The sequence below is a fragment of the Homo sapiens genome, chromosome 10 (genome assembly GCF_000001405.40).
Source record: "Homo sapiens chromosome 10, GRCh38.p14 Primary Assembly".
NCBI classification, from domain to species: Eukaryota; Metazoa; Chordata; class Mammalia; order Primates; family Hominidae; genus Homo; species Homo sapiens.
The window spans coordinates 1,297,986-1,323,762 of NC_000010.11; the positions used below are offsets into that span (position 1 = coordinate 1,297,986).

Genomic DNA, 25,777 nt, shown 5'->3' on the forward strand with positions numbered 1-25,777 from the left:
TTCAGCCACCTGGGTGTGCTCACTTGCTGTAGCGGCTGAGGAGCTCTCACAAACACAGCCTTGCTTTCCACTTCCCTCCCTCCTATTTGAGATAGCAAAAAATGGACCATTCTGTCATTTATTCATTTCAGAAACACACACATTGTCTCCATTGTGCCTCCCACATGCCAGGCAGCAAACGAAACGGACAGAGATCTGTCATTCCGGGAGACTAAAATGTAGGGAGTAGATGCTATTGAAAAAAATAACACAAGTTTATAAAGACAAAATGAAGTTTCTCACAATGGCTTTGTAAACACAGCTTGGGGAAAACAGCCGGCTATGTTTTTATGTTTTTTTGCCAAGGAAGGTTTTTTGGAGTGGCTGGACTTAAGGGTTTCCATGGAGTCTGCTCTGGGTGATCCCGGGGGCACATCCCAGGGCTGAGCAGATGTTGTCTATTGAAAGTGAGGTTTTCCCTTCACCTAATTTACAGCCTATATTTGAGATGCTATTGCGCTTAAAACCTAGGCAGGATGGTATGCACAAAATTCACCTTGAGGGAGCCCAGAGAAGACTTCATAGAGACAGGCAGTAGCCAAACTGAGGCAAGGAAGGGCCTCTTTTTTGGAAGAAACAGGACACACGTGGATGGAGAAGACACATACTGGGCTCAAGCAGGAGCTCCCCTCAAGGGCACGTGCCCCACTGCAGAGTGCAGTGCAATGCTGCCGACTATCCCATGTGCGACGGGAATTTTTTTTTTTTTTTTTTTTTTTTTTTTTTTTTTTTTTTTTTTTTTTTTTTTAGATTTGCCCAGGCTGGAGTGCAGTGGCACACTCTTGGCTCACTGCAGCCTCCACCTCTGGGGCTCAAGTGATCCTCTCACTTTAGCCTCCCGAGAAGCTAGGACCACTGACGTGCATCACCATGCCCGGTTAAGTTTTTATTTTTATTTTTTGTAGAGATGGGGTTTCACTATGGTGCCCAGGTTGGTCTTGAACTTCTGGGCTCAAGTGATCCACCTGCCTTGGCCTCCCAAACTGCTGGGATGACAGGTGTGAGCCACAGTGCCCAGCCACAATGCCATTTTTATTTGATGTTGGATAATGATTCTCCCTTATGATGATAGTGAAGCCAGCTGGAAGACACATGCTCTTAAATGTCTTGTGTGTTAAGAAGGAAAGCGTAAGTGACTAGGAGACCAGATCACAGGGACCCCAGCTAATCTGGGGAGTCACGAAGGGGCCCCAGATGGGGAAACCCACAAGCAGAGCCCGGAAGGCATCAGGAGCCTGCCTGCAAAAGCCAGGAAGTGCAGAACCAGTGTGCGTAGAGTGTGAGGGGCACCTGCCTCACTGGGGGACGTGGACGTGGCCACAGCCCCAGCCTGGACTGCCCCTCACATGTCAGCAGGGGTGTCCTTCCCCTGCCCCTGGTGAAGATCTAGCAGACTCCAGGCATTAGAAAATTCTAGAGTCACTTTAAGTCGCAAGCAGTGACTCCTTTGGTGATTTTAAGTGTGCAGCCCCGTATGTCATCCACTAGTTTGGACGGTATGCAAATGAGAACTCTGCCCTGGCTGATCGCCTGTGTGAGATTCTCAGCCCTGACCACAGGAGGATGAGGCTGTGTCCTGCAGACCTCATGGGGAAGCTGCCCTCCCATCCCACACTGGTGCACGGCTTGGTGCAGCAGCTTTCTGTAGGACGTGGAGCTAAGGACATTTCATCCATCAGACTAGGGACTCTTCTGCCCCTGGGCTTCGCCTCCTTCTGCTTCCTGACCTCCTGGGTTACGATGCAGCAGCAGCCTTTGGTTTGGGCTCCTGGGCAAAGAGAGGGTCCCACAGTCTGGTCCCCTGTGCTTCCGGAGGCCATGCGGACACCCTGGCCTCTTCCCTGCTCTGTGTCTCCAAGTGAATAAAGTGCAGTTGCTACTTGAATGTGGCTCATTGTCCTAACGGCCACTTCACGCCTGGCCATCAACCACATGCTGGAGTTACCTACCTCACCAGGGGGGCCCGGTGGAGGACCCTGGAGGCAGAGGTCCTTTTCCTTGGTTCCCCACCATCCTGGCCGTACCCACCACACTTGTCTCATCTCGCAGGGATGAGATTTTCCCACTCTGCCCTCCAGCTGTTTAAAGATCCTTCCCTGTTTTGGTGCTTTTGGGATTTTTAAAAATAAAAACTATCATAGTTGCCTCTTAAGTAGTCTCTCTGCTTCTCATCTGTCTTCCTTCCAAACCCTTTTAGCCTTGCTGGTGGCTTAAGTTTTCTCACATGCAGGTATAATGGCATCTACAGATGGATGCCCATTGAAGGCTGCCCTCGCAGCAGGGATGGTTCTTCCACATCCCCTCCTGTTCCTACAGTGACGGCTGCTCCCAGCCTCTCACACCACACCACACAGCCAGGCTGATGCCAGCTCCACGCCCCCCACACCACCTCTCCTTGGGGCACCCCCACGCCTCTCCTCCTGACATTGCTGGGCTCACACAGACACCTCCTCCTCCACTAATCAATTCCCCCCATGTGTGCTCCTATAACACTTAAAAATATCTTTCCTATGTTACTCATGACACGGTATAATTTGTTCATTCGTTCAATGAATATTTACTGAAGACCTGTTCAAAATGCTTCTTTAGCTGCCTCCCTGAGCATAGCAATTGTATCTTCCTCATTTTAAAATTCCTCGTGGGCTTCATAGATGCTCAGTAAATATTCACTGAAAAGGGATTTGGATTTAAAATCAAAACATACAGATGTGAATCTGCTGCCATGCACTGTCTGGCTGTGGGCAATCATTTACCCTGCTCTTGGAGGCTTGTTTTTCTCATCCATGAGATATTACAACCCCACTTGTTCTTTCACCTTGATGTGGTCACTATGCCAAAAGAGAGGACATGTAGGCCAAGGTGCTTAGAAGATAAAGCAATATGCAATGTAAGATGCTGCTGTGATTGTCAGGGTTGTGACATGCTTCTGGGATCAGTGATCAAGGAGCTGAATTGGCCCTGGTGTCCACTCTATTGCCGGACCGTGGTGTCATCTCCCACTTAAAAACCACTGGTTCTGAGAGGAATTGACCAAATACAGGGCACATAAGCACTGGTCAGAAAGCTCACTCCTCTTGGTAAAATACTGAGGAATTACGGAACGCTTTCTTGTCTCTTCAGTTATGGTACTGATGATAAAATCGTGGCACAGGGATTTAACAGGTCCACACGGTTATGGACTCTGTGCGTGCTAATTTTAAAGATAACAAGATAAAATGTTTACTTAATTCCGTTAAAAATAAAATACAGAAGTGACTTAACTGCTGAATGTTCATAGAGATGAGAAAAATTAAGTGGCCAAGCAAAAGTCATCAACTCTGGTTACCACCAACAGAGGGGGATAGCAGCCTTTGATATGGGGATAGGCTTGAACAGGTGAATTTTAGAACCTAAATAGATTATAAATGGAAGTGCTTACATACATTATTGAAAATGAAACCCATCAAAATATTGAATATCAATCAATGCCCAATATAAAACCGTTAAGAAAATCAACCTTAAACAGAAAACTTTCTTTTCTTGATGCTTCTCTCTTCTCTCTCTCTCTCTGTCCCTCCATTCCTCCCTCCTTCCCTCCCTCTTCAGGGTTCATTAATTTGGCTGATTAAATACTAGGGTGACTGCTTAGGATTTAGAGTAAAGACCAGGCATCCCTGAGAAATCATTATGGATTTCTTGTGGTTTATTTCCTGTCATTGAATTTTGTGCTAACACCTCTGGTATAATCCTGCCAAGTAGCTAATTTTTAACAAATAGACTATATTTTAAAGCAGTTTTAAGTTCAAAGCAAAACTGGGCAGAAGCTACAGAGATGTTCCCTGTACCTGCTGCCTCCACACATGCACCTGCTCCTCTATTATCAAAGTCCCCACAATTGGTGACCTTACAGTGACACATCACTACCACCTGGAGCCCACGGTTCACAGGAGGGCTCACTCTGGTGTTGTGCACTGCATGGGTTTGACAAATGTATAAAATGTATCTCCCATCTAGGGAGGAGCCAAGATGGCCGAATAGGAACAGCTCCAGTCTACAGCTCCCAGCCTGAGCGACGCAGAAGACGGGTGATTTCTGCATTTCCATCTGAGGTACCAGGTTCATCTCACTAGGGAGTGCCAGACAGTGGGTGCAGGTCAGTGGGTGCGCACACCGTGCGCGAGCCGAAGCAGGGCGAGGCATTGCCTCACTTGGGAAGCGCAAGGGGTCAGGGAGTTCCCTTTCCTAATCAAAGAAAGGGGTGACGGACGGCACCTGGAAAATCCGGTCACTCCCACCTGAATACTGCGCTTTTCCGACGGGCTTAAAAAACGGCGCACCACGAGATTATATCCCACACCTGGCTCGGAGGGTCCTACCCCACGGAGTCTCGCTGATTGCTAGCACAGCAGTCTGAGATCAAACTGCAAGGCGGCAGCGAGCCTGGGGGAGGGGCGCCCACCATTGGCCAGGCTTGCTTAGGTAAACAAAGCAGCCGGGAAGCTCGAACTGGGTGGAGCCCACCACAGCTCAAGGAGGCCTGCGTGCCTCTGTAGGCTCCACCTCTGGGGGCAGGGCACAGACAAACAAAAAGACAGCAGTAACCTCTGCAGACTTAAATGTCCCTGTCTGACAGCTTTGAAGAGAGCAGGGGTTCTCCCAGTATGCAGCTGGAGATCTGAGAACGGGCAGACTGCCTCCTCAAGTGGGTCCCTGACCCCTGACCCCTGAGCAGCCTAACTGGGAGGCACCCTCCAGCAGGGGCACACTGACACCTCACACTACAGGGTACTCCAACAGACCTGCAGCTGAGGGTCCTGTCTGTTAGAAGGAAAACTAACAAACAGAAAGGACATCCACACCAAAAACCCATCTGTACATCACCATCATCAAAGACCAAAAGTAGATAAAACCACAAAGATGGGGAAAAAACAGAACAGAAAAACTGGAAACTCTAAAAATCAGAGCGCCTCTCCTCCTCCAAAGGAACACAGCTCCTCACCAGCAACGGAACAAAGCTGGACGGAGAATGACTTTGACTAGCTGAGAGAAGAAGGCTTCAGACGATCAAATTACTCTGAGCTACGGGAGGACATTCAAACCAAAGGCAAAGAAGTTGAAAACTTTGAAAAAAATTTAGAAGAATTTGTAACTAGAATAACCAATACAGAGAAGTGCTTAAAGGAGCTGATAGAGCTGAAAACCAAGGCTCGAGAACTACGTGAAGAATGCAGAAGCCTCAGGAGCCGATGCGATCAACTGGAAGAAAGGGTATCAGCAATGGAAGATGAAATGAATGAAATGAAGCGAGAAGGAAAGTTTAGAGAAAAAAGAATAAAAAGAAATGAGCAAAGCCTCCAAGAAATATGGGACTATGTGAAAAGACCAAATCTACATCTGATTGGTGTACCTGAAAGTGATGGGGAGAATGGAACCAAGTTGGAAAACACTCTGCAGGATATTATCCAGGAGAATTTCCCCAATCTAGCAAGGCAGGCCAACGTTCAGATTCGGGAAATACAGAGAATGCCACAAAGATACTCCTCAAGAAGAGCAACTCCAAGACACATAATTGTCAGATTCACCAAAGTTGAAATGAAGGAAAAAATGTTAAGGGCAGCCAGAGAGAAGGGTCGGGTTACCCTCAAAGGGAAGCCCATCAGACTAACAGCTGATCTCTCGGCAGAAACCCTACAAGCCAGAAGAGAGTGGGGACCAATATTCAACATTCTTAAAAGAATTTTCAACCCAGAATTTCATATCCAGCCAAACTAAGCTTCATAAGTGAAGGAGAAATAAAATACTTTACAGACAAGCAAATGCTGAGAGATTTTGTCACCACCAGGCCTGCCCTAAAAGAGCTCCTGGAGGAAGCACTAAACATGGAAAGGAACAACCGGTACCAGCCACTGCAAAATCATGCCAAAATGTAAAGACCATTGAGACTAGGAAGAAACTGCATCAACTAATGAGCAAAATAACCAGCTAACATCATAATGACAGGATCAAATTCACACATAACACTATTAACTTTAAATGTAAATGGACTAAATGCTCCAATTAAAAGACACAGACTGGCAAATTGGATAAAGAGTCAAGACCCATCAGTGTGCTGTATTCAGGAAACCCATCTCATGTGCAGAGACACACATAGGCTCAAAATAAAGGGATGGAGGAAGATCTACCAAGCAAATGGAAAACAAAAAAAGGCAAGGGTTGCAATCCTAGTCTCTGATAAAACAGCCTTTAAACCAACAAAGATCAAAAGAGACAAAGAAGGCCATTACATAATGGTAAAGGGATCAATTCAACAAGAAGAGCTAACTATCCTAAATATATATGCACCCAATACAGGAGCACCCAGATTCATAAAGCAAGTCCTGAGTGACCTACAAAGAGACTTAGACTCCCACACATTAATAATGGGAGACTTTAACACCCCACTGTCAACATTAGACAGATCAAGGAGACAGAAAGTCAACAAGGATACCCAGGAATTAAACTCAGCTCTGCAACAAGCAGACCTAATAGACATCTACAGAACTCTCCACCCCAAATCAACAGAATATACATTTTTTTTCAGCACCACACCACACCTATTCCAAAATTGACCACATACTTGGAAGTAAAGCTCTCCTCAGCAAATGTAAAAGAACAGACATTATAACAAACTATCTCTCAGACCACAGTGCAATCAAACTAGAACTCAGGATTAAGAATCTCACTCAAAACCGCTCAACTACATGGAAACTGAACAACCTGCTCCTGAATGACTACTGGGTACATAACGAAATGAAGGCAGAAATAAAGATGTTCTTTGAAACCAATGAGAACAAAGACCCAACATACCAGAATCTCTGGGACGCATTCAAAGCAGTGTGTAGAGGGAAATTTATAGCACTAAATGCCCACAAGAGAAAGCAGGAAAGATCCAAAATTGACACCCTAACATCACAATTAAAAGAACTAGAAAAGCAAGAGCAAACACATTCAAAAGCTAGCAGAAGGCAAGAAATAACAAGCTAGCAGAAGGCAAGAAATAACTAAAATCAGAGCAGAACTGAAGGAAAGAGAGACACAAAAAACCCTTCAAAAAATTAATGAATCCAGGAGCTGGTTTTTTGAAAGGATCAACAAAATTGATAGACCACTAGCAAGACTAATAAAGAAAAAAAGAGAGAAGAATCAAATAGACGCAATAAAAAATGATAAAGGGGATATCACCACTGATCCCACAGAAATACAAACTACCATCAGAGAATAATACAAACACCTCTACGCAAATAAACTAGAAAATCTAGAAGAAATGGATAAATTCCTCGACACATACATCCTCCCAAGACTAAACCAGGAAGAAGTTGAATCTCTGAATAGACCAGTAACAGGATCTGAAATTGGGGCAATAATCAATAGTTTACCAACCAAAAAGAGTCCAGGACCAGATGGATTCACAGCCGAATTCTACCAGAGGTACAAGGAGGAACTGGTACCATTCCTTCTGAAACTATTCCAATCAATAGAAAAAGAGAGAATCCTCCCTAACTCATTTTAGGAGGCCAGCATCATTCTGATACCAAAGCCTGGCAGAGACACAACCAAAAAAGAGAATTTTAGACCAATATCCTTGATGAACATTGATGCAAAAATCCTCAATAAAATACTGGCAAACCGAATCCAGCAGCACATCAAAAAGCTTATCCACCATGATCAAGTGGGCTTCATCCCTGGGATGCAAGGCTGGTTCAACATACGAAAATCAATAAATGTAATCCAGCATATAAACAGAGCCAAAGACAAACACCACATGATTATCTCAATAGATGCAGAAAAGGCCTTTGACAAAATTCAACAACCCTTCATGCTAAAAACTCTCAATAAATTAGGTATTGATGGGACATATTTCAAAATAATAAGAGCTATCTATGACAAACCCACAGCCAATATCCTACTGAATGGGCAAAAACTGGAAGCATTCCCTTTGAAAACTGGCACAAGACAGTGAGAGGGATGCCCTATCTCACCACTCCTATTCAACATAGTGTTGGAAGTTCTGGCCAGTGCAATTAGGCAGGAGAAGGAAATAAAGGGTATTCAATTAGGAAAAGAGGAAGTCAAATTGTCCCTGTTTGCAGATGACATGATTGTATATCTAGAAAACCCCATTGTCTCAGCCCAAAATCTCCTTAAGCTGATAAGCAACTTCAGCAAAGTCTCAGGATACAAAATCAATGTACAAAAATCACAAGCATTCCTATACACCAACAACAGACAAACAGAGAGCCAAATCATGAGTGAACTCCCATTCACAATTGCTTCAAAGACAATAAAATACCTAGGAATCCAACTTACAAGGGATGTGAAGGACCTCTTCAAGGAGAACTACAAACCACTGCTCAAGGAAATGAAAGAGGATACAAACAAATGGAAGAACATTCCATGCTCATGGGTAGGAAGAATCAATATCGTGAAAATGGCCATACTGCCCAAGGTAATTTGCAGATTCAATGCCATCCCCATCAAGCTACCAATGCCTGTCTTCACAGAATTGGAAAAAACTACTTTAAAGTTCATATGGAACCAAAAAAGAGCCCGCATCGCTAAGTCAATCCTAAGCCAAAAGAACAAAGCTGGAGGCATCACACTACCTGACTTCAAACTATACTACAAAGCTACAGTAACCAAAACAGCATGGTACTGGTACCAAAACAGCATGGTACTGGTACCAAAACAGAGATATAGATCAATGGAACAGAACAGAGCCGTCAGAAATAACGCCGCATATCTACAACTATCTGATCTTTGACAAACCTGACAAAAACAGGCAATGGGGAAAGGATTCCCTATTTAATAAATGGTGCTGGGAAAACTAGCTAGCCATATGTAGAAAGCTGAAACTGGATCCCTTCCTTACACCTTATACAAAAATCAATTCAAGATGGATTAAAGACTTAAACGTTAGACCTAAAACCATAAAAACCCTAGAAGAAAACCTAGGCATTACCATTCAGGACATAGGCATGGGCAAGGACTTCATGTCTAAAACACCAAAAGCAATGGCAACAAAAGACAAAATTGACAAATGGGATCTAATTAAACTAAAGAGCTTCTGCACAGCAAAAGAAACTACCATCAGAGTGAACAGGCAACCTACAAAATGGGAGAAAATTTTCGCAACCTACGCATCTGACAAAGGGCTAATATCCAGAATCTACAATGAACTCAAACAAATTTACAAGAAAAAAACAACCCCATTCAAAAAGTGGGCGAAGGATATGAACAAACACTTCTCAAAAGAAGACATTTATGCAGCCAAAAAACACATGAAAAAATGCTCACCATCACTGGCTATCAGAGAAATGCAAATCAAAGCCACAATGAGATACCATCTCACACCAGTTAGAATGGCAATCATTAAAAAGTCAGGAAACAACAGGTGCTGGAGAGGATGTGGAGAAATAGGAACACTTTTACACTGTTGGTGGGACTGTAAACTAGTTCAACCATTGTGGAAGTCAGTGTGGTCATTCCTCAGGGATCTAGAACTAGAAATACCATTTGACCCAGCCATCCCATTACTGGGTATATACCCAAAGGACTATAAATCATGCTGCTATAAAGACACCTGCACACGTATGTTTATTGTGGCATTATTCACAATAGCAAAGACTTGGAACCAACCCAAATGTCCAATAATGATAGACTGGATTAAGAAAATGTGGCACATATATACCATGGAATACTATGCAGCCATGAAAAATGACGAGTTCATGTCCTTTGTAGGGACATGGATGAAATTGGAAATCATCATTCTCAGTAAACTATCGCAAGAACAAAAAACCAAACACCGCATATTCTCACTCATAGGTGGGAATTGAACAATGAGATCACATGGACACAGGAAGGGGAACATCACACTCTGGGGACTGTCGTGGGGTGGGGGGAGGGGGGAGGGATAGCATTGGGAGATATACCTAATGCTAGATGACAAGTTAGTGGGTGCAGCACACCAGCATGGCACATGTATACATATGTAACTAACCTGCACAATGTGCACATGTACCCTAAAACTTAAAGTATAATAAAAAAAATAAATTAAAAAAAAAAAGTATCTCCCACTGTAGTACACACAGAGCAGTTTCCCTGCCCTAAAATCCCCTGTGCTCCACCTACTCAGCCCTCCTTCCTCCAGCTCCTGGTAGCCCCTGATCATTCCACTGTCTCCATGGTCTTGCCTTTTCCAGAATGTCCTGTAGATGGAATCATACAACATGTATGCTTTCTGGATGGACTTATTTCACTCAGCAATATGCATTTATGTTTCCTCCCTGTCTTCCTTCTTTGTAATGCTGACTCATATTCCATTTTCTGGATGGATGAGAGTTTGTGTATCCACTGGCTTACTGAAGGGCGTTTTCGTTGCTTTCATGTTTTGGCAACTATGATAAAGCTACTATAAACATCCATGTGCCTTTTTTCTGTGTGGACACAAATTTTCAATTCATCTGGGTAAAGACCAAGGAGTGTGATTGCTGAACCATATGGTCAGAGTATGTTTAGTTTCATAAGAAAATGCCACGCTGTCTTCCACAGTGGGTGCACCATTTTGCACTCCCACCAGCAGCGACTGAATTTCCTGTTGCTCCACACCCTCACTGGCATTTGGTGGTGTCAGTGTTCTGGGTTTTGGTACTGGTATCTTAGCATTGCTTTAATTTGCATTTCCAGGTAGCTAATTTTCCATCATATAATTTATTTTTGTGGGTGATTAGCAGGTCAGGGAGCTCTTTAACACAGACTACCTCTATTTCTATTTTTTTTAGAAAGGACAGGATAAATAGAGCATGGAATGCACATTTTTCTCTAGCACTTTATTTTCTCAGCTGGAAAAGTGTTGGAGAAGTGGTTTTCTAGGATAAACAGATGCAGTTTCTTATAAAGTTGATTTTGGCAATGATCAAATTCCATCAGATTCCTAAGATTTCCTACAGGGGAAAAGTCCCCAAAAAGGCAATGATTTTTTTATAAAATTCAGTTCTTTAACTGATGGATATTTAGACTAACCGAAGTCCATGCCTCTGACAGCAAACCACACAGACATTTTTGTGTGTTGGGTTGTAGGAATTTGCACTTGAAGGAATGATATTTGGGACATGTCTGAGGTTGCCTCTAGGGGGTTCAAGACTCCATACCCAGAGGGTGACTGATAAACATTGCCTGTCATGTTGGGTATTGAGCACCAAACTTCATCCAGAAAGAAATGTGCCATTGCTGGACAGTGTAAGATTGCCTCTCAGCGGATCCTGACTCTTTGGTCTGAATCTCACCCCATGCCTATAGACCAAAATCCTCCATGCCGACTGTGGCCTTGTCATTGTGGAAAGTGCCTTTTCAGCCGGGCATGCACTGGCAGCGCTCCCTGGGATACACGAGGCCTGTCTAGTGGGCCAGGGCTGGCTCCTAGGTTGGGGATTCTGCAAGACCTGTGAGTGGTCCTGGGAAGTCCGGTGGCTACCACTGGGATGTTTGTTTCTGGCTTAGGTTTAATATTTGAAAAGTTTTGTGAAATGTGCCAGGACGGATTATTATCATTCCAACAACAGAAATTTCAGCATAATTACATGTTAACATTTCCCCTAAGCACAAGCCTCCCTGGTTCAGGGCCTGGCAAGGCAGGATGAGCCACTAGGCTCTGGTCTTCAGATCCTAGAATCCAGGCTGGTGGGGCTGGAGAAGTCAGCCCTGGATTTTGATGGGAGGGAGGGGCTCTCTGGGGTGTGGCCCATCTCCCTCATGAAGCACTGCAACCTCTCCACTTCCCATTTGCTGCTCTCCCGGCCCCTATTTTAATTCAGGACATTACTGAGATTCCCTTCAGTTCCCAGCCTCTGCAGCTGTGTGGACTGCCACCTGCGGGCACACCTGGGGCCGCATCATTCCACCTGGAATCTCCGTCTTCAGCGTCTTCCATCCCTGAGATTCCAGTTTCATTTCATCCTTTGTTTCCATGCTCTCTGGGTCTTCATGTGTTTCCTTTAACTTCTATCCTTCATTCTCCAATTTCATCTGCTTCTCAGTGCTTGATTTCACCAAAGTCTCTATGATTTCCTGCTGCTTTGTTTATTAAGTCACTCATCAGATGTTGAATGGGGCCTATTTTGGACCGAGCACTGTGCCAGGTGCTGCTGTCACACTGAGTGAGCAGTCTGAAGGTGTTTGCATTTACGCAGAGGTACAACTTCTGACTTCCACCATGCCTGGCACTGAGAGACACTCCCAGATGTTAAAATATTCACCAGTCCTGGAGAAGCAGCTGGCACTGAGGCTCAGCACTCCTGCTAACCTACGAAGATGTTGGAATCAATGAGAAAAACTTCATTGACTCTGAATAACATTCCTTCATTGACTCTGAATAACATTCCTTCATTGACTCTGAATAACATTCCTTGGATGAAAGAAAAACAGAGGAAGAAGAGATAAGAATCCATCTAAACCTACTTTCTAAGCCCTGGAGGCCCCAGAAGTGAAAGTCCTCAAACACAAATTATTTTACTAATTTACTGAGCAGACATTTCTGGAGAGCCCACTCGGTGCTGGGCACTGTTGCAGGCATGGGGGTAGTGATGGGGTGACAGTGGAGGCTGCTGCGCTCCAGTCGGGACTAGGTCCTCACGGTACCTCTGGAGGGGATCTCTGTGGTTGGGACGGGGATAAGTGGAGAGGGGAGGAGGCTCTCCAGGCCCCTGGCGCCTCAATCTCCTGTCCCGTTTCACTCTGACTCTCGTTTCCCCAAGGAAGAGGCAGGGAAAGAGGAGACAGGATTGTAAAGACAAGGAGTAGTTTTCAGTAACTTGGATTAAAAATAAGTTGAGGTTAAAGGTTGAACTTAGTGACAATATTTTGACCTACAAGAATGCAAATTACGTATATTTCAACTTAATAGCTAAAATGTGTGTTTTGGAGTAAATGTGGATTTCGATTATTCACATGATGTTGCCACTGGTCTGCCACAATCTAGATCTGGCTATAGGCAAATGAAGACTGAGACAGCCTCAGTAGCTCCAGAGCTGGGCAGCATGGAGCCGTGAAGACCAATGCTCATGGGGGTCACTCAGGAGACCTGACTATAGATCCAAGTGTTGCCTTTAAACAGTTGTGTGATCTCAAGCAAACCTCATTTCTCCTTCCATGGGGAATGGTGGGCACACCAGCTCCATGCTGGTGCCGGTCCTGTCCCCTGCCACACATGACTGAGTGCCCACACCAGGCACTTGTGGTGCTGCTGATGGCATTACTTTTGTTTCTGGTGTCAGTTTTGTTTAGGCTTTTGGGGAGGAAAAAGCCTAACAAAAGGCTTTCCAGGAGCAGGGAATGGCTGGGGCCCATGTGAAGCGTCTCCTGGTTTGGTAACAGGTGCGATCCTTCAGATGCTCCCCAAACATCTCTAATAAATGCTTAGTGGGTTCTTCCGGGAAATGAAAAAAAAAGACACCTGACGTTGTTGTTTAATATCTGAGTACACCTGCATCTTCCATGTTCAGATACTCTGAACTCAGAGGATAGGTGAAGACCTGGCCAAGGCGCCTAGAGTGTCCCCCTGCCTGCTCCATAGAGACCCCACCACACAGATGAAGACCCTGAGTGAGGAGAAAGCCTGCAAAGCTCCTCAACCCTCCCCTCAGCTCTGTCAGCCCTGGGTTCCAGCAAAGACCTTGCTTCTTCTGTCTCCCACTGGGACCCCTGTCACTGCTACCTGGATGCTTGTTCCTCAAGCTGGCACCCGAGCTACCATCTCCGCCCTATGATGATGGAAGCTTAGTTAAATGAAGCTCTTTCTGGAGCCAATGGGCTGGATCTTAAGCCTCCCGGAGAATGTGAGTGTAATTTAGGAAAGTGGAAGGAATGATTGAGTCTGTGTCCTAATCCCTGAGAGTCTGTACTCACTGAAGTGAGCAGCCTAATCCTCCTGGTACCTGCGGACTCAGGATGGAATCTTTAATTACCAGAGTCTCATTTCTGCTTCACGAGCACTACCGGAGTAGCATCTGTCGCTCAAATAAACTCATGTGAAAATAAAGTATTAAAATCAATAATTCAGCTTGGAGGTGAAATGGAACAGAAAAATAACTTTCTGGCTTGCAGTGTCCTGGATTTGCAGGCGGCAAGTTTCACTGACTCTTGCTTCTCCCTCTCCTTGGAGCATGCGAACCTTGGTGGGTGCTGGCTGGCCTGCACCAGAGATGCAGTGGGGGATGCAGCTTCCACCAGGGTGTGGGGGATGCACTTTCTGGAAGAAAGGGCAACAGCCATACCTTCTTCCAGCAGCTCCTGTGGCCACCTCCAGGTCAGAGTGAGCCCCCGGCAGGCCCCAGGCTGGCTCTGAGGCTGATGCAGCAGGTTCAGTTATTCTGCTGTGGCCTGAATGTGAGTTTCTCTTCACTTCATCACATTTTGGCTTCAACACTGAACAGATTTCAAAGACCACCTGAAGTTCCCTGTCTCCAGGACGTCTCTCCTGATTTCTCATTTCTGGAGTGATTGTGAAGAGAGCCAAGTTTACCAGTTGTTTATAATTTCACTCCAGGTGCGGTGATAAGCATGCACATCTCCCTTTGGCTGTCACAGTAACCCTTTGAGGTAGGCGCTGCCACGTTTCCCATTTAGAGGGGAGGAAAAAGACGCAGGGAGGTGAGGCACCTGCCCAACCCGCATGGGCAGGTGGGAACCAGGGTCCAAACCTGGCCTTCCTTTCCTGCCTATCTTTCCTCTGCGGAGGTGTCACTGCCATGCTGCACACAGCTGCCATGCAGTGCTCTGTTCCAGATGCCTGTGCCTGTGACCCCTCTGCCCATGAGGCTGGGCACAGCCACTGCTGCACTGAGCTTTTGTGTCTTCCATTTTGTGTGTTTCGCCATCTTTTTATAGATGGTGGGGGATGGAGTGGACACAAGAGGGCGGCAGGAGAGGGGTGGGAAGATGTGATCTTGGGGTTTTCTCACCATTTCACCTGACCAGAGGCCAGAACGTCATTTGGAATTCTTCGGCCTTTACATCCAATGATACAGTTGGGGCCGTTCATCCATTCCTCAACAAGCATCTGCTGAAGGCCTGGTGAGAGCCAGGAACCAGCCGTGGAGTGGGGTGGGAGTGCCCAGGTGAGTCCAGGGTCTCAGGGTCTTATCTGTGTGGGGGAGGGCCCATTGGGGGACAGCTTTGGGGAGAAGGGTGAAGGGGGATGGGCCCTGAGTGCCTCTGAAGTGACTCAGAGCTGTGGCCTGAACTTCTGAAAGATGCCCCTTCCACCTGTCCCCCATCGCCACTCCTTGGGCCTTCCACAGCCAGGGGTGTCCTGCTGCCTGCCAGGGGGTCCCCACAGTGGATGACAGATGGCAGAATGTTCATGAGGCCTCACTGAGTGCCAGGCACTGGGAACTAAGTGGTGGAACTGGGACTGCCCATTCCAAAATGTGTCTCTGCCATTCACGAGCGACTGTCCCTTTCAAGTGTGGGCCAATTGTAGTGACAAGAGTCCCTGCTCACAGAAAGCACCAATGCTTCCACAGCAGAGCCAGCCACTGTGAGGCACCACCTCCTGGGATAACAGGGGAAACACAACTAAAACAGGGCACAGGGTTACCTCTGCCCAGCCAAGATGGTTTCCTGCCCTTGGTTAGAGGGAGGGTGGGAGAACGACAGTGGCCCCACACACCACAGAGATGACACCTGCACACCCATCCGAGTTAATCGAGGGGCCTTGCTTGCACAGTGCAAACTTCCATTGTGCAGAGGTTTCACAGAAACATGCTTGCATCAACCTTCCTTCTGAGGTTGTATGGACTCCCAAATTCCTGTGGCTGTGGGTCCTGCCTCCCAGCGTCCTCCTGCAGCCAGCTGGCAATGCCAAACACCCACACCATGTCTTTTGCTAACTAGTAATATTTCTGAAACTCGCTATGTCTGAAAACCAGTCACTTGGAACATTCTGCAGGGCAATCTCCAGCCTCCACTCTTGAGGAAGGAGAGGCAGTTGTGGAAGCCACACAGCCCGTGCCACAGCTCAGGAGCCCTGTGGACCTGAGGCTCGGAGACATCGGCCCTGGCCTTAGGACCTACTCACTTAGGAATCTCACATTCTGGATTCTTATTTTGAACTCTGTCTTCCCATTGCTCTAGGAACCATCATAATCATTTTGAAAACCACCAAGAGGAGAGCTGCCAACCATCAACACCTGCTCCCCAGCAGAGCTGAGGTTTCTCTGCAGCCGCCTCCCTTTCAGTAAGGACATCTCCCCTCGCAGGTCACCAGCCCTGCCCACAGCTGGACTCTACTTGCCCCGTCCTCCTAGGAAGTCCCTTATGAGAAGCAAAGCCAGACAGACTATAGCTGGGGGCCCTAAGTCAGCAGACGGGCCCTGCCCTCCCTGGTCTGCCCCTGCAGCCAGTCCTTCCTCCTCCTCCTCCTCCTCCTCCTGGTCCACCTCTTCCTTCCCACATCGGCCCTTCCACGGCCAGTGCCCCTCCATCCTCCCCACTGCCCGGCCTCCAGGGAGACCTCTTCCCACACTTGCCCTGGCCTTCCGGCCGCTTCTGACCCACGTGACAGACCTGAGCTTAGGGTTTCGCAGGAGGGTCTCAAATACGGCATGCGAAGGTGCAGAGCTGAGTCTGAGGTGCCCAAGATGTGATGATAGTCTGCCAACCACCTGACGGGAGAGGGGCCCCTGAGAGCATCTCTGTTAGACACGACCCAAACAGAAGCAACAAAAGTGCTCCCGGATGTCTGAAAGCTTCAGCGGCTCTCCAGGAGGAACATGGCCTCGGATGCCTGCACCTGGGCTGCTCTGAACACTGTGGGGTTCAGAGTGAACTCAAGGCCCTGTCTGGCCTTAGATATTTCACTGTTGGTGCAAAATTCCCCAGAATTTATTTTATTATCCTAATGGGAACAGGGAAGTTCACGCAGAGGGTGTCAGCCGCACTCTCCACCCCTTCCTGATCATCACCCTTCTCACGGAGAGAAGCCGCCCCGAGGTTCCAACATGACGAAGTAGCGTACAGTTAAGGGGTCCTGGGCAGGGAGCCCTGAGTTCCTCTCCCCACCGAGTCTCTCTGGGAGTTTGGGAAAGTGGTCAGGAGGGGAGGCCAGGGATGATTTGAGTTGGTGCAGACTCTTCTTCCCCTCAGCGGGGTGGGGGCTTGCAGGGAGAGATCAGGAGGCAGCTCCGGAAGAGCCGAGCCAGGCACCAGGTGCTGCAGGTGACAGGGTGAGGGTCTGCAGGGGCTCCTGGGCCTCTGCATCAGCCCCAGCCAGCGCACATGGCTTCCAAGGTTTCCGCCTTCATTGATTGCTGCTGGGGCACCCAGCACGGCTGAGTGAGCGCAAAGCGTCCTGAGCGTGGCGTTTGGCATGGCTGATGTTTCCAAGCCTCCCAGCAAGCCATACATCATGAAATATTGATATGGTTCCACTAGACTGCTGCACCTGACATTTGATTTATAGCTTTAGGTGTTCTTTTTTAATTCTAAACAGTCAATGAGGGATCAAAGGAAATGTCATATTTGTAGGGCTCAAGCTCAGAGGGGCTCCTCGGAAGCCAGGAAGGGAGGTGCCGTGGTTGCTCCCACAATGGGCCCTACCCTGGCCTCCCAGGGAGGGGCTTTGAGGGGCCCCTATGCAGGTGAAGACGCCCCTTCCCTATGCCCCAGCATCTCAAATATTTACCACGTTAAATATCAGCCTCCAGAATATTGCCTTCATTTAAGCTTTTCACGTTCCAATGATTTTTTATTATTTCCATCGACCAAAATAAATGAAGAAAATGTTTTAGACTACACTTGAAAGCATGTAAAAATCAATAACTGGATTTTAAAAGATTTAAAATGTCTTGAATACATTCATTTTCAAACATTTTCCTCTGATCTTTAAATAGCTTTTCTTGGAGCATAACAGTTTTTTGAAAAGTCAAATATGGAGCATTAAGGGTATAATTACCATTTTAATTATAACTCAATCATCCTATCTGCTTTGCATAGAAATTAAGGCTTTTATGTCAGGATTTTGGGCACTCACAAATGTTCAGGAGCAATTAATGTTAAAAGTTTAATTTTTTTAAAGACTGAGTGTGAACTTTGCAGTTCTTAATTTCCTTCTTGCTCAGATGGGGCAGCAGAGATGCTCCCACTTGCCGTTTAATTTTTGAAGCGAGTTCATTTCCCCTTCCGAGTCAGCTCCCACATCCCTGTGACAGGCGGCGTCACACAGCAGGGAAGGGAGTGGATGGTGCCAGGCTGCTGGGCTTGGGCCCTGCTCTGCCGTGGTGATGGCGGCTTCCCTGAGTCCAGGCTCGCCTCACCCAGCTTCCTCACCCATAACGTGGCCTTGTCGCAGCCCTTGCCTTGTGGGGTTGCTGCAGGACTCCTGTGAGTGGCAACGTGCAAGGTGCTGATGGCAGTGTCGGCCACGGTGCATGCCCTGTGCTGGCCTCATTATTTTCCAGAGTCCCCTTTTTGGTTTGATCTAAAATAATCCCAGTCATTCTGGGAGTCATTGGTTTTCCTCCTACCCGGAATAGGATTGTTTAAAAAATGGTACAACCGTAAATCTTATGTATTCAGAGCAGTACTTATTAGATCACAAAACAGCACAAAGCCCTGAGAATCTCGCAGAAGCAGGGCCCTCTATTGCTGTGCCCTCCCCACACCCCATGTGCACTGGCCTGGCTATAAAGTGACAAGGCTGCTTTCAAAGTCTTTATTTTGCATTAATGAAAATGCCATTTGGCTAAAACTTAACTAGATTTTCATTGAATTTTGCCCTGAGAAGGAAATACTAAAATGATAGATTTTCCCATTGTTTTTCCGCGAATGAGTAATGTGCTTAGCTCCTCACTCCGGAGGCATAAGGTTGCAGTTTTGTGTGCGTGTGTCTGTGCATGCTTGTATGCAAAACGCAGCCTGGACATTTTTCTCCCAGTTAAAGCCCCGGTCTAAGATCTGGTCCATTTCCTCTTGAGCTGCCACTGCTCAGGCTGGAAGGAAAAATCATTTTTATGGGCACTGCCGTGGCAAAATAAAATAATTCCATTTTTAGAAAGGCTGTGGCGTAGGCCCCTCCCTTCCTGTATGTTTTTGCTGACAGCCTTGCTCTGCTTCACTTTTAGCCGATTTTTATGTTTTTTAGTTCCCTCACTTGTGCTTAAAGTCTTACTTATATTAGAAAAAAATGAATGGAGGCAGGCAGACATAATTTAAAAATAATTATTATGCCGTATCTTCTATACCTTGTACCAGATAATGTTCCCTGAGACTTAATCACTGAATATCACTTACATAATCAGGCATAATCCCAAGTGTAATTACAAAACATCCCATAATCTCCACGAGCCTGACAGGCATAGTCGATTGTCTTCGTAAGTTGTTGTACGGATTTTTCTAGAACACTGAGGGTTTCACATAATTTTTTAATTTTTGGTGAAGGGAAATTATTAAACATTTAAGTGAACATGATTTAGTTTTGATGGCTCTGGGAGAGTCTTATATAAACAAGATCACTTCTGGGAAGACATCCCTTTCTTAGGCGCTATCTTCTGGTTTGGGTTTGGTGCAGGAGTTGGCAATGTTTTTGGGGTAAGTCCAATTCCCTGATGTTGCTGGTGCATCCATCTGCCTCTCTCACTCCTTGGGCAGTACTGAGGGCTCCGTGCCCCTGGGTCCCCCAAAAGCCCATCAGCAGGGGGCACAGGCAGGGGTAGGCCTGGGGGGGGGTGGGTCAGTTTGTGTGGCTCTGGTCTCTGTGGGCCGGCCACGCCCCTCCATTGGGGGCCCAGCTTGTAGGGGTGGCTGGACACATGGCTGCCTCTCTGCACCCCAGCCTTCCCGTCTTGAGCTTGGTACCCATCCCGTCACTTCCCTAAAGCCTGCCTACTCCCTACCAGTGCCCCTTTACTCGACCCTCCCTCAATCCCCGGTGTGAGTGCCAGGTAACTGCTGGACCCTGATCTATAAAAACACTAACATTAGGAGAAGGCCCTGTCTCCTCTGACTGGGTGTGAAGTGTTGGCCACTCATAAACCTGCATTCTGCATAGCTGGGCAATTTAAGATGGTGAAGAATATACTATACTTTTGTTAGACACTGTAAAATCTATGTCAGTTTCTGCTACTTATTATTAGTTTCACAGTAACACAATCAATCAAATAAAACAGCAAAAAATCCACCCACAGAGAAGCGTGTAGTCACAGGTGACGGATCCTGTAACAGGAACGTGGTAAAGCCCATCATGGTATGATTTGGTACCATTTGTTTATTTTTGCAACCTCTTACAGCCCATAAGATACTAGAAGCTCCCTTTAAATTCAAACACTGACAGCTCCCTGCAGAATTTGAGAACCATGCAGGAGTGAGAGAGATCATGGGCTGGGCCGGAGGGATGTGGGAAAGCCAGACCATTTGCTAGAAACAAGCAGTACCATTTGCACTCCTGGTGTGGGGAGTGGTTTGGATTCATTTACTTATTATTCATCCATGCCTTTGTGGATTTCTCAGTGCACACATCATCGCAGAGTGCTGGGGTTCAGATTCCACCTGATCTCTCTGGGCACTGCTGTCCTCGTGTACAAGTGGGGCAACAATACTTGCTCATTCAACTCAGCATTGATACAAAGGCTGCTCGAGACTGTGTTTGGGAATGCCTTCTGTGACCTCTAAAGTGTTGTCAAAGTATAATTTGTCCCTGTCAGAAGGAATATCGGGGAGTGTGGGAATCTCTCGTTACTGTGTTGGCCACAGTTGGAATAATCTAGTTCCCACATCTCCACTGGAGAAAGCATCTCTCAGATCACACCCCACAAATTCCCGTGGTGGGTAAAGGGTCTGCCAGCCTCCAGACAGGCATCTGTTCCAGCAGAAAATGACCCAGGGTAGATGGACCGTGCTCCAAAGGCTTATGAATGTGGCCAGCGGCCTTAATTTCTGTCGTCTGCTTATAACTCCATCCAAAATCCTGGCTGGAGATGATAAAAAAAGATTCAAGGAGCTCAGAGTAAGTGGGACATGTGACCTGCTCAGATGCTGACCCATGCCACATTGTGACAGTGACGAAAACAGAGTGAAGAATAAGGCCAGATCTATAGGATGGGGCTGGTGTCTTAGGAACAGACTTCCTTACACACAGAGATACAGCATATAGTATAAGAGCAGGGACACCCCAAAACAATGAGGAAGTAAGTTCAGTAAAGGTTTCTAGGCCGACTGTCACAAGAAAGCATGATCTTGCCTGTGGATCATACCTCAAGATGTATTATGGGTAGGTAGAATAAAACAGAAAAATAGCACAGAAGAGCAAACATGAATGTTTACCAAACTTCCTGGGGGTGGGTGGAGAAGATCTTTCAAAGCATAAAAGCAGAAGGATAAGTCATACAGCTGACAGATAGATCACCTGGAAATTAAAATTTTCTCTGTATCAAAAACCCTCCATCATAATCAAAATAAAAAGCAAAATAAAAGACATATTCAGATAATAGCTATGGATTAGCAAGATCTCAAACAAAATGATTATAATCACATCTTGGTTGATAAGAACTCATTGCACAAATTCCTCTTATATCAGAACTTGAAAAGAGTCTATTCCATGACGAATGGATAGCTGGCATTTTTCCTTCTACAGAGTGTTGGGGACTATGCAATGCATGTTTCCCTCTTTGTCTTGAATGCCAAGGCATTCTGTGCCCTGTCCGAGTACCTACCTTAGCTTGTACTTACTTCCTGGAACATGACTTCTGGGAATTAGACAGTATAAATGTAATGATGTAGCTGAATGCCTGGCTAGTTAGAGAGTCGCCATGTTGTCTTTTCCTTATGAATATAAATATTTCCTTTGTATGGATTCCCAGCAGTGGGACTACTGGACCAATATGTGTAAACGTTTCTAAAGTTTTTGGTGTGTATTGCCAAATTGTTTTGTGCAAGGTGCAGCCCACCAGCAGTGTGTGCACATAACACTATCCTCACCCTCTACAGCATTGGGGCTATGCTCATGTAGACCAGGCCTCAGCTCACCTCTTACTACTCCCTTCCCATTCCTCATTCCAGCATCTTCACATCTTGCCTCCATCCTCAGACTCACAGTGGCCTCCAGCCGCCCAACCACTCCCATTCAAATGGAAAGCATGCATTGAAGTTGAGTCCCTCCCATGAGGCTGGTAGGATGCTTCTTGCCATTCTGGTGTCCCATGATGTGCTATGGAGAATGGAGTGAGTCTCAATAAACATCATTGTCTTTAACATAGCAAAGTAGGGCTCCCCAAAAGTATGTGAATTTTAAAAGGGTGAAGGCAGTGATTTGTCCAACTAGATCATCCAGATTTAGGGTCTGGTATCTAGCATCTTTCAAATCACACCATGTAGATGTCACTTTGATTTTAGGGGTGTTGGGCTTACTGAGGAGGCCAGTATCTGAGCTCAGGCAAGACCTCAATTTCACGTCTTAGGGTATCTCCTTGGTGAAGGCAAAGTGCCCCCTCTCAGGCTAAGAAAAACCATTGGACCATGGTGTATCAGATAGTTCTTAGTCATAATATATACAAATTTAACAACTATCTGCAAAGTGAGAATTTTTCCACAATGAATTATTTGGTAGCTTTGGTGTTGATTTTATAGCTGTCCTTCTGCCAGAGAACAGCGATGCTGAGATTTGCTGTCAGTCTGTTGGTCCTATTTTTCTATAATGAGAGATGATGTGGTGAGCTACAAAATAAGAGACAGATGATAAAATAATTCCTTAAGAAAAAAATATTAGAATACAATGGGCCGGCAGGCAAATGATAAAATGCCTCTTTCCTGTTTTTTAAGCACTGTAATAAAACATTTTGGAGGTGGGGCATTGTGGATGTGCAGTGCCGTATTGTAATTGTAAACAGAAATGAACTGGCCCAGATTCAGAGCCTGTGGCAGCACAGGGTCATTGGGATTCATTGTTCAGTGGGAACATATTTTACTGTGAAATGTTCTGATGACATTAGAATGTAAAGTTCCTACAACCTAAACAACAGGTTTCATTCTGACTTCCATCTGTCATACTGAGGTACCATATGACTCTGTAGTTAAAAACCAGTATAAATAATTTGGAACCCAAATCCATCCCATTGGCTCTTTATAGTTCTCCCCATATGATGGTGTCATACAGATCTCTCCTCCTACACACTTTGCAGAAGCACTGTCCAAATCTTGCCTCATGGAAATCACCTCTTCTCTCTTGCAGAGAGCAAGCCCATGATGTTGTCCTCATCCGGAAGATCCCTGCCTATCCTGCCTGAAAACAGCCCATTGAGAGCAAAGGTGACTGCACTGCCTGCCATCCTCAGATACAGAAGTATGCTACTAACTTTTAATTTTAATTTTTTAGAGACAGGGTCTTCCTGTCTCCCAGGCTGGAGTGCAGTGACACGATCCTAGCTCACAGCAGCTTTGAACTCCTGGGCTCAAGTGATCCTCCCGCCTCAGCCTCCTGACTAGCTGGGACTAAAAGTGCTCATCACTGCGCCCTGCTAATATTTTCAAATTTTTTTGTAGAGATGGGGGTCTCATTATGTTGCCCAGGCTGGTCTCAAATTCCCTGCCTTAAACAATCCTCTCATCTCAGCCTCCCAAAGCGCTGGGATTAGAGGTGTGAGCCACCGTGCTACTGATGCTACTATTTTAATATCCTCCTTCTCTTAAACAAATCATCATACTCTGTTCCAGGGAGAATTTCCCAGCTACGAGGGCTTTTGTCTAGGTTGAAAATGGCATGGGTTGGTAAGCCCTGTACTCTAATGTAGAAGGAAGGAGGCTAAGTAGGTTCCATGGACATCATTCCTGCCTGTGGGCATGTGTGTCCCACAGCTGATTGGGAAGGGGAAGAGAGAGGAAGGGAGCATGAATGAGAAGGGGAGGAGAGAGGCTCTGGGGGAGGACTTTGGGTTCTCGGTGAGGGATGAGAGCCACAGAAGACACAGAAATGCTCCCTCTGCATTGTTTCCATCCTGCCTCCTCCTCCCTCCTCTGACCACCCAGCCCTGGACTCAGGAGACACCAGTTGGTACCTGGTGATATTTCTAAATAACTCAGGGCAGAGAAACTGCAGGATTCAACATTCCTGGCTGTGTTTTTAATGAAGCCCTTGAAGCTTGGTGAGAGGTGATGGGAGAGATGGATATAATTTCGGATGGGCACTTTCTGTTGGTAGAAAGGACTCAGCCCATTTGTTAAGAACCTTGTCTTGGGAACTATTTTGTCTTTTTCAAAAAACTCAGTATAGGATGGAAGAAAAAGCCCAGGCTTCAGAGCAAGGTGGACTCTAGTTTAAATTCAAATGCTGCTCTGACCTTCTGTCTCTCTCCTTGTACTTCTTCTAATTCTCCAAACTGAGTATTTGAGTTAGATTTCTTCATGACTTACTACAGAGGTCTTTGGTTTAGGCAATGTGGCAATTAATCTAGGTAGTTTAGGGAGATTTACCAGATTGGAGAATGATGAGAAAAGAAGAGATGATACCTATGAGGCTAATATTGAGGAAGGAGAATACAATATTAACAAAACAGGCAAGGGAATTTAAGCCATTTGGTCATTTGGAGCCATTAAGTGAAGGAAAAATGGAAAATTGACAGATCATAAGAGCCACTGGCACATCACCCACTGTAATACAATATTATCTTCTATGTCCAGAAGAATGGAAAGTCTAGAAAAAAATGTTATACTCGATACACTCTATTCAAGAAGAAAAGGTATGGCATTTATAATTATTTCTACCCAAGTTACTTAAGGAAAAAACATTTGGCATTAAGTGTATAATTTTAAATTATTTCAAAATTCAAGTTAATGTAATTGCTCTCTTTTTCATGATGTACATAAATAAGATGGCATCAGTAGCCCATACTTGGAACAGATTTGATTCAACTTTCTGTACCACATTTGGCACCAGGAGAAAGCTGACACTACCCTGATACACTTACTACAATGGTGTTATTAGAATCAGGAAAACAGTACCCTTCTTTGGTTGGTTAGTGGAAAGTTTTTAAAAAGTATATCAGAATTTCAAAAAGTATTGAAGGTTAATAAAGGAGGAAAGCCCTTTTTGTTTTGTGAAATGAATTAACACAGTAATACATTCAGAACTGCATCTGAATCTGAGGAAGTCTATCTAAATTTTAGTTAATATTGTCATCATCCTCTTTATCATACTTCACAGATTCTATGGGATACTTTGAAATTGTAAAAAAAAAAAAAAAAAACACTGTTAGGATATGTATGACGAAAATTACAAAATGCTGACAAAAAAATCAAAGAAGACCTAAATTAATAGAGAGACATGCCGTATTCACAGATTGGAAGACTGAAATAGAAGAAATGTCAATTATTCCAAAATTGACCTATAGTGTGGTGCAATTCTTAACAAAATACCAGCAAATATTTTGTAGACATAGACAAGCTTATTCTAAAATATGTATATAAATGTTTAAGTCCTAGAATAACTGAAATGCCAACTTTAAGAAAAAGGAGAATAAAGTGGAAGGAATCACTCTACTGAATATTAAGGTTTACTCTATAGCTATAGTAATTGATCATGTGATGTTGGTGGATGGACGGATGCATGGGTCCATAGAGCAGAATAGAGAACCCAGTAAAGGTACAAAGGTAATTCAGTGGAGGAAACACAGCCTTAAAAAAAAAAGTAAACTGTAAATCCCACATCTCCATGTCTTATACAAAATCTTACACAAAAGTA

The 25,777-nt window shown here is 45.5% G+C and overlaps 1 protein-coding gene across 1 annotated transcript in view, besides 5 other annotated features; it reads right to left on the reverse strand.

Moving 5' to 3' along the window:
* The window catches only part of ADARB2 (adenosine deaminase RNA specific B2 (inactive)), a 560,213-nt gene that overhangs the window by 120,673 nt on the left and 413,763 nt on the right, over positions 1-25,777 (reverse strand). The window lies entirely within an intron of this gene.
* Positions 11,527-12,170: an enhancer, noted in NCBI's record as "OCT4-NANOG-H3K27ac-H3K4me1 hESC enhancer chr10:1351707-1352350 (GRCh37/hg19 assembly coordinates)". NCBI's record gives its function as "activates a minimal SCP1, AML or CMV promoter by ChIP-STARR-seq in primed H9 embryonic stem cells {active_cell/tissue: H9 hESC(primed)}" and the evidence as "EXISTENCE:reporter gene assay evidence [ECO:0000049][PMID:30033119]".
* Positions 12,171-12,815: an enhancer, noted in NCBI's record as "OCT4-NANOG-H3K27ac-H3K4me1 hESC enhancer chr10:1352351-1352995 (GRCh37/hg19 assembly coordinates)". NCBI's record gives its function as "activates a minimal SCP1, AML or CMV promoter by ChIP-STARR-seq in naive H9 embryonic stem cells {active_cell/tissue: H9 hESC(naive)}" and the evidence as "EXISTENCE:reporter gene assay evidence [ECO:0000049][PMID:30033119]".
* Positions 12,816-13,459: an enhancer, noted in NCBI's record as "NANOG-H3K27ac-H3K4me1 hESC enhancer chr10:1352996-1353639 (GRCh37/hg19 assembly coordinates)". NCBI's record gives its function as "activates a minimal SCP1, AML or CMV promoter by ChIP-STARR-seq in naive H9 embryonic stem cells {active_cell/tissue: H9 hESC(naive)}" and the evidence as "EXISTENCE:reporter gene assay evidence [ECO:0000049][PMID:30033119]".
* Positions 14,105-14,748: an enhancer, noted in NCBI's record as "H3K27ac-H3K4me1 hESC enhancer chr10:1354285-1354928 (GRCh37/hg19 assembly coordinates)". NCBI's record gives its function as "activates a minimal SCP1, AML or CMV promoter by ChIP-STARR-seq in primed H9 embryonic stem cells {active_cell/tissue: H9 hESC(primed)}" and the evidence as "EXISTENCE:reporter gene assay evidence [ECO:0000049][PMID:30033119]".
* Positions 14,749-15,393: an enhancer, noted in NCBI's record as "H3K27ac-H3K4me1 hESC enhancer chr10:1354929-1355573 (GRCh37/hg19 assembly coordinates)". NCBI's record gives its function as "activates a minimal SCP1, AML or CMV promoter by ChIP-STARR-seq in primed H9 embryonic stem cells {active_cell/tissue: H9 hESC(primed)}" and the evidence as "EXISTENCE:reporter gene assay evidence [ECO:0000049][PMID:30033119]".